The 14371-nt window shown below is 39.6% G+C and overlaps 1 protein-coding gene and 1 long non-coding RNA gene across 15 annotated transcripts in view; one reads left to right on the top strand and one right to left on the bottom strand.

Moving 5' to 3' along the window:
* Positions 1 to 14371, bottom strand: part of BABAM2 (BRISC and BRCA1 A complex member 2) — a 450193-nt gene that overhangs the window by 173592 nt on the left and 262230 nt on the right. The window lies entirely within an intron of this gene.
* Positions 1 to 14371, top strand: part of LOC100505736 (uncharacterized) — a 58407-nt gene that overhangs the window by 41652 nt on the left and 2384 nt on the right. Inside the window, exon 2 of the long non-coding RNA NR_120504.1 lies at positions 14041 to 14134. This is a non-coding gene — a long non-coding RNA (uncharacterized LOC100505736). The remainder of the gene's footprint in view (positions 1 to 14040; positions 14135 to 14371) is intronic.

Genomic DNA, 14371 nt, shown 5'->3' with positions numbered 1-14371 from the left:
CTCTCTGTAGAATCCTCTCACATGTCCAGTAATCTGTAAAGTTATTTTTGATGCCTGAGGCAGAGCCAATTACACCCTTCACATTCCTCAAAGAAACTTGAACACCCTACTATTATAGTATGTATCACCCTGAATTGCAATTAATTCTTTACGTCTTTCTCCCGCAGTACACTGGCAATTCCTTGAAGGCAAAGACGATGTCTGTTTTTGCTTATCACTGATTCCTCTGCACCCAGAACCGTACCTGGGACACAGTAGGAGCTAAACAAATATTTCTTGAATGAAGGAAATGAAAAAATAAGTGAAAACATGAACAAACCAATAAAAGGGGAAAGGGTTTCTCTTTTGATACCTAGTACAGTGGTATGGTACTCACCAAACTTAAGAATGTACTTAATAAATGATTGCTGAATAAAATCCTGACTGAAGCATACGGGAAAATCTGAAACCATGAAGGGATCTGGAGTTATTTACTTTAAGAAAAGTTATGGAAGCTGATTATCTTTGGGGTAAAAAGGAAATGGATTTTTAAAAGCCTATAAACTTCAGGGAAGAAGCGCCAAGATACATGTGACAAGGCAATCTGAGCTCCACTCAGATCCAAGAACAAAGGGTTCCTGGTTTAAGCTATGGAAGTATCTGTTCCAGAAAGCAGCTGGGCAGAATTTCCTCACACGAATAGCTCTTAATGTATGGGAAAAAGAAAAGAGCAAAACAAAACAAGCAAAGGCAGCAAAAGGGAATAATTAGTGTAAACAGTTTAGTTTTTTTTTTAATGCATTGGACAAACTCCAAGAAGGAAAAAAAAAATGTTGTGGGATAAACATCTGTTCACTCGGAACATGACAGAGCCCTTGACAGGCTCTGCGGCCTGTGTGTGTCCTTATGTGCCCGAGGTTTATATTTATGCTTCCACTGCTCAGACAGCCCACAGAGTGGCCCAGAAAGAGAGACCTATTCCAGGCCAGGACGCACTCCTCTAACTCCACGTGGGGGTGTAGGGGCAACTCTCATTCGGTTGTGTTTGACACAACAAAAAACACACTGAAGGGAAGAAGAGCAAATACCAATTGCACATGTGGAACTGCTCTACTCCACCTGCACTGGGTTCCATCAACACTGTATTTTATTGACTGCACGGAATGCACAGAAGTGACCAGACACCACACGTTTATGGGGATTAGCACTGTCTTTCCATCCCTATGATCCTTGGTATCAAGATGTTAAGTGCAACAAGTTGTAGGAGTCTGTTTTCTTGTGCCAGATGTGCCTTTTGCAATCAGTCACTGAGTCTAGGAGTTTCTAAGAAGAGAACTCCATGAGAAAATTCATCTTCAGTTTTCAGTACCACCTGATAGTTTCTAAGAGGTGCATAGCAGTGGGCCTAGAGATGAAGCCAGATGGAAATGATCTAGCAATGTGCAATGGGCAGTGCCCTGAGGAAAACACCCACAAGGGGTGGATGGCCTCAATTCTCATCTCCATGACGATAGATCACATTACCTTAGAGCCTTGGGCCACGTGAGTCCAATTCTGAGGCCTCTGACCCAGCTCCATCAGCCCAGCCGATCTTACACAAGTCTCACCCTTAGGAGTACATTGTGTTAAGATGGGGACAGATTGCCTCACCCTTACCTTTCTTTCTGGCTGGGTTCACAACTTCTCTTGCTCTATCATCCGATTTACTCCATTTTCTCTTCCTAAGGCCCATGGCTCTCAGTTTTTCATTATTCTTATGGCATTCATGTCTAACTCTGGCATTCTATTAGATATCTGGCAGGGGTGACTGCCTTTTGCTTTTCTCCTAGACCTTTGTCCCCAGCACCATGTGTACATTTTCTGTGACCTGCCTCAAGACAAGAAAAATGTTCTTTTTCTCCCCTTAGGCATAAAGCTCTCTGGGTCTCTAAAGTCTCCCTGATAGCCAGCTACTGACTTACTCCACATAACACAAGAGGTCACATTTAACAGAATTATTCTGAGAGTGGCCAGTTGGGGCTGTTAAGAAAACTAATTCTCAAGCTGATCCTGGCCCACCTGCTGACTTGGCTGGAAGAAGCGCTGGCACCCAGAGCTTCACACTCAGAAGAAGGTCATGGGGGAAGCAGGGTGGCTGCCGGCTGGGAGGCATCTGAGGAGAGTGAGGATTTCACTAGGCTGGCCACAAAAGATGACACCACCGTCTTTTTTCGGGGGGCACCTCATTCTATCTGTCTACACACAGATATGCCTACACCCACAATAAAAATGTTTATAAATAAAAATATTTGGTACTAGTTTTGATTTTCTACAGAATTGGGACTAAAAAACCAATTTATTCTTACACTTGTGGATTAAATGGTAACTCCACAGTTTAATTTTATCTGAAAGGGGGAAAAAAACTGACATCTAGCAGTTAAACATGTCTTTGTCACTAGAGGCCTATGACACAAATCTCGATGATATTTTATGAGAACATGTATAGCTTTTCTCCACTTGTGGCTATAATTGCTGTTGGAGAAGCCCCAACATGTAAAGGTTGATGCTTCTGAATGTGCTGAAAGATGCTGGAACTAAACCATGCAGTGACAGCTATCAAAATGTCACCAATGCAGTGTCATATTCAGTCAAGATGCTTAAAAATTCAAATGTTCAACTAACACTGCTCTAGTGTGCGAGGAAGAGCATTACCTGGCTGGTTGGTAGGGAAATGAAATGAGATTATGTGCATAACAGCACTTAGGAAGAAGCCCGGTGCAGGGTTGGCTGAGCTAGGAAGAGCTATCATTCGCTGGGCACTGACTCCATAGAGTAGTGTATGCCAGACAGTAGTCTCATTACACATGTTTTAATTCAATTAATCCTCAAAACTGTGAAGTGGATACTATCCTCATGCCTGGGTAAAAGGTGACAAAAAGGAGGCTAAGAGAATACCCAGCTACTTAGTATTGGAGGCTGGATTCACATCCAGGTCTGTCTGACTTTGGAGTCTCTACTTTAACCGTTACTTAAGTTCTGGTTTCTCAAAGCATCCTGAAGAGAGCCATGTACATTTCAGGTGCCCTTTGTCTTTACTGTCCCGGTGTGAGGTATGCGCTGCAGGGCCTAGCAATGTACTCTCTTTACGTGGGCCTAAACACCCACTGGTATTTTTAAAAAGACAAAATACGGTATTTCAAGTTTCTAAATAATTTTTATTTAAACAATTACAACTCCTTGCCACTTGCTCATTAATTGAAAAGGTTTCATTTGAAATCACTAGTATTTATTCTAGGAATTAGTAGTTAGTTTGAAGAGAAGGTTGCAGTAGCTAAAATTTAAATTTATACTAATTTAGGGCACAGGAAGCAGTATATAATATAGTGAATCATGTTTCAAATGGAAAGCAAACAAAAGAGTGTCCAAATGTTTCATCCTATATCTATCAGAGTCCATTTCTGGTGCTAAATAAAATAATTAAAGATCTCTGCCCTCAGTTTACCCCAAGTGCAAAATGAAAATAGTACCTCACTCAACAGATGAGTGATTAAATTAGCTGCAGCTGGGCCAGCTTGGCATTAAGTAACTGCTGTGCAAGACTTTTTGACCGCAAAAGAGCAAAGTGGAGGGGAACAAGAGCCAAAAAGGACACACCCACCCATTTGCGCTCCCTTTTGTATTAGGAATGCAGGGCCTCAGCATTGCCCAAGGGGTTTCAGGGTAAGATGCTGGACAGGTCTGATAGACAGTTCTGGCTAACCCTTGCTTGAAAAGGGGAAGAGTTTGGGTTCTAAGTAGCTCCAGAATAAAAGGAAGAAGGGTCTTTGAGACACTTTGGGAGTTTGAGCCAAACCAGAGACTCTGAAAATGGGGAAAGCAAACTGGAATTTCCTTGAAGGCCTATCTCTAATTTCTACTTTCTACCTACCCCCAACCCAACTCTTGCTCCCATCCCCATTCCCATTCCCTGGAGTCATCTGACTGGAAACTGGCTCAAGCTCTGAGTGAGTCACTGGTTGACCCCAGCACCTAGACTCCTGGAGCCCCCCAGGAACCCTAGGAGACACAGTGAAGCCCGTTGGTACAAGCAACTCAAAACAAGAATGTGCCAACTTCCCAAAAAAAGGCAATGGTTGGGCATGTGCTCTCTGCTCCACAATGGCATTCTTCAAATGCTTTATAAGCCACTTAAAAAGAAAACTGCCTACCCATAATTCCCTGAAGACGTCTGGCTGGTTTATGCAATTTCCCAGTTATGCATCTTTCCTGTAAAGGGAATCTGTTGGAAAGCTGGCTCTGCACAATTGGGAAACTTGGGACCATCATGATTAATCATTAATAAATTCACAGAGAACCTCGCCTCATGGTTTAACTCTGCGGTAGTCTCCAGAAAATTTGAATAAATGATTCTAAATATTTTTTAAAAGCATAGATAGTAGAAATCTTCCATGTACTTTCTGACAACTCTTATACAGATTACAAATTTCTGTACTTTCCACACTCTCCCAGGAATCCATTGTCTCTAACACCTACCAGACTGCATCCTTTGCCCATTTGCCCACACTCACTATTTCATCCCACCTACCTACTCTTTATTTAAAAAAAAAAAAAAAAAACAATTTATATGTTCCTTTCTATGTTCATTTAATTTAGTTTTCTGGATCCATGTGTATGCAGTATTTGCACATGCTAGATGCTAGTGCTAAAAAAAAAAACATTAAATATTTAGGAAGTACCGCCCATGGGTTCAACTTTTTATTAGGAATAATGAGAGATAATACAAAAAAAGCCATATTTGTGTGATCGTGTGCATTGCACAAGTATGTGAATGTGTGGGTGGTGACTGTGCATACGTGCACTTCTGGGGGCTCCCTTAAATTACTGCCTCTGTAGCCTAATGCTGTGGCTGACTGAACAGAAGAAAATGTTCTCAACACAATGTATGATAAGATAAATTAATACATACCTGGATAGGTGTCTGAGGAGCCCGAGGAGGATTAGCTATCACATAACCATACACTAAGCTCCATGCACGGGCCCAGCTAAAAAGAATATACTAAAAACCAATCATGGCCAGGCGCAGTGGCTAGTCCTGGAATCCCAGGTTTTTGGCAGACTGAGGTGGGAGGATCCCCTGAGGCCAGGAGTTCAAGACTGGCCTGAGCAACTTAGTGAGGCCCCAACTCTACAAAAATAAAAATACTTAGCTGGGCATGGTGGTGCATACCTGTAGTCCCAGCTACTTGGAAGGCTCATGGAGGAGGATCACTTGAGCCCAGGAGTTTGTGGTTACAGTGAGCTATGATTGGCCCATTGCACTCTAGCCTGGGTGACAGAATTAGACTCTTTCTCTTCAAACAAACAAACAAACAAAAACCCAATCATTTTCTGGGTTTCTTTCAGGATGTAAAACCCTTCCAGATTATTACCTTTTACCTAACTAAATTCTGGCAATTTTTTTTTTTTTTTCCCGGCGGGGATGGAGTTTTGCTCTGTCGCCCAGGCTGGAGTATAGTGGTGCAATCTCGACTCACAACCTCTGCCTCCTGATTCAAGCAATTCTCCTGCCTTAGCCTCCTGAGTCGCTGGGATTACAGGTGCTTGCCACCACGCCCAGCTAATTTTTGTATTTTTAGTAGAGATGGGGTTTTGCCATGTTGGCCAGGCTGGTCTCGAACTCCTGACCTCAGCTGATCCACCCACCTTGGCCTCCCAAAGTGCTGGCATTGCAGGTGTGAGCCACTGCATCCGGCCAATTCTGGCGATTTTAGAAACATCCATATTGGTCTACTCACAGTGCCCTAAAAATGCCAGGCACCCTCTTGCATTCATGCCTAGTTCACATGTCCCTTCTGTCTGGAATGACCATTCTCTCCTTTACCTCCTGGAAAACTTGTATTCTTTCTTCAATGTCTTATTCAGATGTCACCCTTTCTTTGAGTCCTTCTTGGACTCCATAGCAGACAGAGCTCACAGCTCTTTCCACTGGGCTGCTATGGTTCTACGTGCACACCTCTATTACAAAATTCATCATGCTGTCCAAGTTAGTTACTTCTGTGCCTGACTCTGCCAGTAGACTCTACTCTTCTTGAGTGTCGGACATCTTCAATCTTATTCCATAACCTCCCATCCTGACTTAAAAAGTGTCAGTAGACTGTCTGACATGTCATAGGCACTCAAATAAATGTTGTTGGTTGAATGAATGAATAATGACATATTACACTAGTTCTTTAGAAACAAACAGAAACTCCTGAAATTGAAATAAGTGAATTCCCTCAGAATGCAGGAATTTGAGATAAAATGTTTTATCCTTTAGCCATTTAAGTGAAAAGAGAACTTGTTGATGATGTTAAAGTTCCAAAAAATGCTTTTCATACCAGTAAAATTTCCAGACATGCATTAAAGCAGAATCAAGGCCGCCAGACAGCTTAAACCACTGGCGATAACTTCAGACAGAGAAAGAAAGGGCAAAGGCATTAATGAGAATGAACAAAAATTTCCTACTCTGCCAACTTAAAATCTCTTTTCAATTTAGAAAACCTCCCACAATTCCTGTGTAAAAATTCAAAGTGTAAATCACGCAATAATTAACAATAATGCAGGCAAAAGCTGCATTAGATAAGTAAGATTAACAAGTGTAGTAGAAGTCTCAAGCTATATTACATAGCCTTATTATAATGCTGAAAGAAGGAATTTGACTTCCAAACAATGAAAGAGACAAACAGCAGAATGGTCCAAGAAATGGAGAATACAAATTCAAGCATGGATATTGCCAATCCTAACAGATGAACATTCCAAGGAGCTCATACTGGTACTGAGATTTAGCATGGTGGCAGATAGTCCCACTCTGAAACCACTTTTGCTGCTGGTAGTTTTAGGGCCGCCATGAGGCATAAACTGAGGAGCTACCTTATTACTACAACAGTGTGTATTTCAGTACTTTTTAACTTTCTTGTGTTGATGTAGTTATTCAAGTGGTCATTTTTGTTTTCCCTTTGGATCTGTCTTTTCTCCCTATGTAGCCCTCTTCATTTAGAGTTTATTGGTACAGTTTTACTATCTTGCTGATTTAAACCTGATATAAACATTTTGTTGTTTTTATTTTTGAGTTTTTTTATTATTAGGTGAGGGTGAACATTGTTCTATGTTCATTAGTTGTTTCATTTCTTCTTCTGTAAACTGAACAACATTGCTCTTTTACCTATTGAGATTTTAAGTCTTCTGATCAATTTAAATAGAAATGCTGTTAACTTTTTATTATATTTGTGATCAATATCATTCCAGTTTTTTAAATAGTTTTCATGTTATTTCTGACACATAGAAGAAAAGCTCAGCTTGCATGCTTGGATAACTACTCATGATTATATCATTAGTAGGTGGGATATCAGAGATTAGAACCCAGGCCTGCCTGACCCCACAGATCAGGTCCTTAAATAATTTGTTGGCTGGGCACGGTAGCTCATGCCTGTAATCCCAGGACTTTGGGAGGCCGAGGCTGGCAGATCACGAGGTCAGGAGGTTGAGACCATCCTGGCCAACATGGTGAAACCCCTCTCTACTAAAAATATAAAAATTAGCTGGGCATGGTGGCGCATGCCTGTAATCCCAGCTACTCAGGAGGCTGAGGCAAAAGAATAGCTTGAACCAAGGAGTTGGAGGTTGCAGTGAGCCGAGATCGCGCCATTGCACTCCACTCCAGCCTGGTGACAGAGAGAGACTCCATCTCAAAAAAGTAATAATAATTTGCTGAACAGGGTTAATACATTTGGGTCCAAACTTGATTGATGATATGTAGCCATCATTGAGGATTATCAGTTAATGTATTTTGTATTTGACTTTGTTGTAGCTGTCTATTTTTGCTGCTATCAAAGCTTGTTTATCCATAGCAGCCTGTCTACCTTGAATCTGTTGTCTCATATATGCTAGGAGTGTAAAAATAAGCTAACTAAGTTTGCCAAGGCAGTATAAAACAAAATGGCTGACTGCATTTTAAAAATGGGGTGTTTGGCTCTTCAGACTTCCTTTCTTTAAGTTTAGGGATCAAGGTCCTTTTCCAGGGTGTTGCTAGGAGTCTCACCTTTGGATAACTGAGGTTTTTCCAGGACTGGTAATCTGACCTTCATATAGTAGGCACTTGATAAATGTTTGTTGAAGATAATGATACTTTTCTTTAGTTTTCTAAATTGCCCAGGAAAAGCTTTCCCAGTCAAGATTAGAGACACAGAAATTTTCCACACACAGGTAAATAACTGGGAAATTATTTTCATAAGGAAAAAAGTCTTACAGTTTTCTGTAAATAAAAGAGCATCCTATTTTCATTCTCACAGAAGTCTAAAAATTATAGACCAATACATTTGTTTTCTAAAGAGAAATATGTAATTCACTTTAAAGAAAAGTTGGCTGTGAAAGAGATTTCTATCAATTAAATTGAATGGTGAATCATATTTTCCCATTAAGTTCCATTTAAAAATTTGTAATACAGAATCAAACTTGGCCTTCTCCTCAAAGATGTCCCTAGACTACGTATATTCATTTAAGGAAAAAGGCAATTTTTTTTCAATTCAACCAATTAAAAATGTAAATAAGTCACAAAATCAGAATTCCAAATAAGCCTTAAAATTCCATATGTCTGCTTCATTGAGAGTAGACCCTACTGTAAAATAAGATAAGCCTTTTATGCTCTTTGCAATTAATTCTATAATCCTTTCTCTCTTAAGGTAAATATTCCTTTCTAAAAGTCTTCTAAAATTAATTATTTTGTAGGATAACTCCTGATAGCTTATTTATAATGCTGGGGACAACTGCTCAGGAACTATTAATAACTTAGTATTCTTTAAATAGACTATGAAAAACTGTAATTTACAAATATTTATAACTTGCTTATTCTGTGACTAATACCTGCCAAGCTTTGTAGTCAGCAGTGGGTATAGAAATATAAATAATATATAAATAATACATGGTCTCAAGAATCTCCCAATTAGTAGCAGAGAAAGGCAGACAATTAATTTAAATTCATATCATAACAATTATTATTGAGCACAGACAGCCATGTAGAAATACAAAAAGGGGCATTCATAACTGTCTGGTAGAAGGGTGCTAAGAAATGCTTCAGAGAGGAGGTGACATTTGCGACAAATCTTGTGGGAGGAGTAGAAATTAACTAGGAAGACAAAATTACAAGCACAGAAAAACAAAATAACCTTCCCACACTAACTCTCTTAACTCTGGGCAAACAAAATCGGAAAAATATACCTGTTCTTACCCCAAAAATAAATTTGCAAGTATTGGAAAAAGAAGCATTACTAATAACTACCATAATTTTATTAACAAATCTAATCAAATTACTCTACTTTTCTTCTCACACAGAGGAGGTGATCTAGTGAATAGAGGTAAATATTTTTCCTAAAATGTAAGTACCTCATGTTATGAATTATCCGTGTATGCAACAACTAATTTCACACTTCCTACTAATTTCCACCTCCTAGAATCCAAAAGGAAGCCCTCTGGACCAGCAACTGAGCTGCCTGTGGCTGATAACCCCATCTGGTGGTTGGTATGGGGAACTGTGTGGTACAGGGTTTCCATCCTTCTACTTTTCTTCCCAGAAGGAAAGAAAATGCTGTTTTTTCTCACTGTCTCTCCTTTTCTCTTTATAGCTCATTATCTCCAGCACCTGGCCCTCAGCACACAAATATTTGTTTTTAGATTCCCAATAAATAGTTATAGAACTGAGCTGTTTTGAATAAGAAATCATTAACACAAGGCTTTTCCATTTTTCCTAAGCACTTTTACATTTATTACCTCAGCACTTTTAGCTCAGTCACCTTAGTATGAAGATGAAGAACAGTATTGTATAAGTCATCAGGATTCTCATCTGCTTGCATTAAAATACGGTGTACTCCATAAGGAGATGACCCCTCTCTATCGATCAATTATTTATGAATAAATGAATAAATTCCCTATCCTTTTCTCTCCAAATTCTTAACCTGGTACCTTAAGAACTAACTGTTCTTCATTTTATTTGTAAGGCAAAAGCCACCATAAATCATCCATTTGAGTTGTGCTAGTTAAACATATACTTGCAGCTGAGCAAACGGAGGGTAAAGATTGTGATAATAAAGAACTATCTACTTCTACAGCTGTTGAGGTAGTTTTTAAAAAGAACTCAAATATTCCAGAAGTCTCCAAGTACTTTTTTCTTTATCTTTTAATTTAGCCTGCCTTTTCTGAGGTGCCGACCTTCAAGATTTTTTAAAACTTCAATTTTATTTTTCTGTAATGTTAAGTTACTTAGGTTGCAAAGGTATTAGTTTACAGAAGCAAAAGAGAGAGAAGAGAGATACAGGAAGAATACAGATAAAGCAAATGGAATAAAATTTAAAAGGTAGGAATAGCACGGAGATACAAAACAGGGTCTGTGAAAGACTGATTCTCAACTATAAAGTGTATTCATATACTTGTTTACTTAAGAAAAGACAAAAAGAACACAAATATACAAACTCTGTTAATAGTTACACTGTTGACATATCTCCCATAGCCACATTTTCTGAGCCATTTTGAAGAAATCTTTTATTTAACCTTTTCTATTCTCAAGTATCTTGTCCTGTGAAACAAAAGGACCTGATTATATGATTTTTAACGACTCTTCTAGCTAGAAGTTTGCTGTTGTTGCTGCTGTTTTGAACATTCTCTGAGTCTATGAATGATTTAAAAAAATACATAAAGAAGGGCAAGGAAAGGAAAGGCAAATGAAGGCACCAGAAGGAATATAAGATTTCATACACAGAAATGTAAGAAAAATAATGCTTTCCAGCCTAACACCTCTACTTATTAAAGGCATTAATTAAAGTAACCAAATGTGGCTGTTTTCACTCAGGATATACCCTGCAATGCCAAAATAGCAACCACCTTACCACCACCACTCCCCTGTTCCCCTAAAATCAGAAATGTTTCCTTTGAAATATTCGTGTTTCTCCAAGTTGAATGTGTCATTATCCAAAAGAAGTCTCTAAGCTAAACTTCCATATTCAGCTTCAGGTTTTGAATTCATAAAATGAGGAACTTAAAACTGACCTCTCTTGCCAAGGTGTTGCCTATTTTGTTTAATATGGCACTTTAAGGCCTTCAGTTTTAAGACACTTGAGAAGTACAAAGTATCATTATGTTAATTACTATTATTATAAGGCTCCAGAGCTTAGGTGAGCTATATGCTAATGTCTAATGTACTCAGTAGTGATCTACGACCCAGGAAGGTGATTTCCAAGCATCACATGTCAGTCTATTGTCCTTGTGTAACTCCAAAGAGCCACACACAATAGGCAGAAGCAGGCACAGTGACTTGGGCTTTGATAATATTGCTGGAGTCCAACTTTCTGTGCAACTCTGCTGAATACTAAGAAAAATATGACCCTACTCTTTCCCCTAAGGGTATTCTTTACAGAATTCAAATCAAGATAGACCACAGAAAAACCAAAAACTCAATCGTGCATGTCCCGGAGAAAATTAGGTAGTAACTCCTAAATAAATCAGTACTTAACCAACTTCAAGACAGATATTCCTAAAGTTTAGTGTGTGTTCAACTACCTATGAAGCTGGTGAAAATGCAGATTTCTGAGCCCCTAAAATTCTGATTTGGTAGGTCTGGCATGGGTTCAAGGAGTCTACACTGTTAACAAGTTCCCAAGGCTGATGCAGGTGGTCCACTGACAACATTCTTGAGAAGCACTGCTTTGGGGTTCCAGGAAGCCTGCTAATAAAATAGCAAAATTCTGATTCAACACATTCAACAAAAATTTAGAGGTCTCAAAGACAGCAATACCAAGTGTAATGTATTAATTTTTACCACAGTTTCTATAAAGCAGCAACTTAAGAGGCTAAGATTTGGACTACTAGTTCCAAAGTTTTGACCAAAGACAAGTTGAATTGAGAAAATGTTTCAAAAATGCAATGTCAAGAAATCTATATGTATATGAACAAAGTAAGGCAGAAGAAAAGACTTTAGATAGCAAAAGTGGTTGTTATACATTTTGTATTTTCAAATACACCAACTAGCAGCTTAGAAAACAGATGTGGCAAACAGTGGACCAATTTAAGGCCTATTAAGTAAAATACATAAGCAAAAATAAGCCATTTATGAATAAGCTTCTGTAAGGAGGAACATCCAAGGAACAGGATCTGAAATCCTAATACGTCTTTGCATTCTTAAATGCTAAAGTCATGGGGGAGAAAAAAAACAACTCCAAGTGAAATGCTATGAGGTGTTAATGTATCAAAGTGTTACTCACTAAGAATAACACATAAAACTGCTCAAGTGATTACCACAGGGTTTTATTACAAAGACAAATAGGGATACAAGAGATATAGCTAAATGAAGAGGATGGCTTTGCAGAACAACAGAAGAACTATCTACCCAACCCCAGCCCCCAACTAAATTAAAGACTGAACCACTGGCAAGAAAAAGCATATAAACTTCCTATAAAACTCCTGGTATAATCACCAGCGAAATGAACTGGATCTGTACTTAGGGCTCAATGCCTAGTAGCCGATGACCATCCTTTAAGACTCAGCTCAAATCACACCTCTTCTGTGAAGTCTTCCCTTCCTTAACTCAGCAGGAGAAATTTCCCAGTGACTACAACATTGGCTTTGGTATTCAGGTATTGTACTATTTTTATAACCAAAATACCAGTATTTCTGTTGGTGGAGTAGCATGATTTCAGAATGGGTGAGCAGTGTCATTCATCCTGAGCTCTCTCCAGTTCATCCCCTGTGCCCATTCCTGTCTCCCCAGCCACTTACCCAAGACACCTTCACAGTAAAACCGAGGAAGACTCCCAGCTCCTCCTTCCCGTTATCAGCTCCTGCAATTTCCCCTCCCTGCGCCAAACCCAAAAAAGGCGGAGGTTAGACTTGGAGGAGGAGAAAGATCCCTTGAAGTTGAGGGAACTCTTCCCTGGGAAAGGGTTGACCTAGAGAGAAATCAAAGCTGGTACTGAGGCCACCAGCAAGAGCTGAGAAGCTGCCAGAGGATAGCAGTGGCCCTGAAAACTCCACAGCCCTGTTGATCTGGTGTGGAAATTCTGGGAGGCCCAGGGCAGAGGGGCTGTGGTCAAAGCTCTTAGAGGCACATGGCTCTTCATTCTCAATTGTTTAAGGCAAGTTTGAAATCTTGAAGAAATGGATTGCTAAATTTCAGATGTGGCTCTTTGGGGGATAGAAAAGGGGTGCTATAGACAGAATGTTATAGCTTAAAGGCCTCAGGAAAGCATCTCCACCTGAGTTTATTCTTACATATTCTAACATGGTAGATTTAAATCATCCTTTGAAATAAAAACAGCCCCCTGCAGAACTAGGCTTATCACTTATTCACAGTGCCATGTAAATAATCCAGTTGTCACCCCATGCAAACCTGCCCACTCTCTGGTGAGGTGTCAGTGCCCACGAACAGTGGGGGAAAATCTGTGTGTGAAGACTACCAAAAGGGGTTGGATATCTCAAGAAAGACCTGGAAACTCTTCTCTCCAAGAAAAGATTTGAATTGAATTTTCTATTTAGGGAAATCCAGAGGTAGATAGGTAGCAAATGCTAAAAGTTTTAATTTTAAGAAAGGGACCAAATGTTATCAAAGCATTTCCAACTATCTTGCTCTAATTTATTGTTATTCTCATGCTTGTATTAGTAATTAGTTTTAACTCACTATTGAAGAATTACTGTAGAAAAACTTCACTGTAGAGAGGGAAGGGATGCTTTTTTCTTTTCTTTTCTTTTCTTTTTTTTGAGATGGAGTTTTGCTCTTGTCGCCAAGGCTGGAGTGCAATGGCGCGATCTCGGCTCACTGCAACTTCTGCCTCCTGGTGGGTTTCAAGCGATTCTTCTGCCTCAGTCTTCTGGACAGCTGGGATTACAGGTGCTTGCCACCACACCTGGCTAATTTTTTGTATTTTTAGTAGAGATGGGGTTGCATGTTGGTCAGGCTGCTCTCGAACTCCTGACCTCGGGTGATCCACCTGCCTTGGCCTCCCAAAGTGCTGGGATTACAAGCATAAGCCACCACATCCAGCCTCCTTTGTTCTTTTTTCCTAGGTATTCAATGCCTCAAGAGGAGCTGGTCTGGCTGGAGCATGTAGGCATAAAACAGGTACCAAAAATCATCTTGAGTCAGCAAAAAGAGCTGCAGGTATAGTATCTGAGAAATTAAAAACCTCATATATGTTTACTTTAGAACCTACAGAGTAAAGTCAAAAATCCTAAGTATCTTTTAAGAGCCTCAGTGCACTTCATCCATCATTAACTACTATCGATAACCATCTTACCCACAAATCTGATTAGAACGCTGCCTTCTGGCCTCTTAATTTCCTTAAAGAGTCAGAGCTGTGGGAGCTATTAACTTTAGGTTCCCTATCAAACTATCATT

Source organism: Homo sapiens, chromosome 2 (assembly GCF_000001405.40).
Source record: "Homo sapiens chromosome 2, GRCh38.p14 Primary Assembly".
NCBI classification, from domain to species: domain Eukaryota; kingdom Metazoa; phylum Chordata; class Mammalia; order Primates; family Hominidae; genus Homo; species Homo sapiens.
Note: the sequence above shows the minus strand (reverse complement) of the source record. Positions and strands in the feature narration are given on the sequence as shown.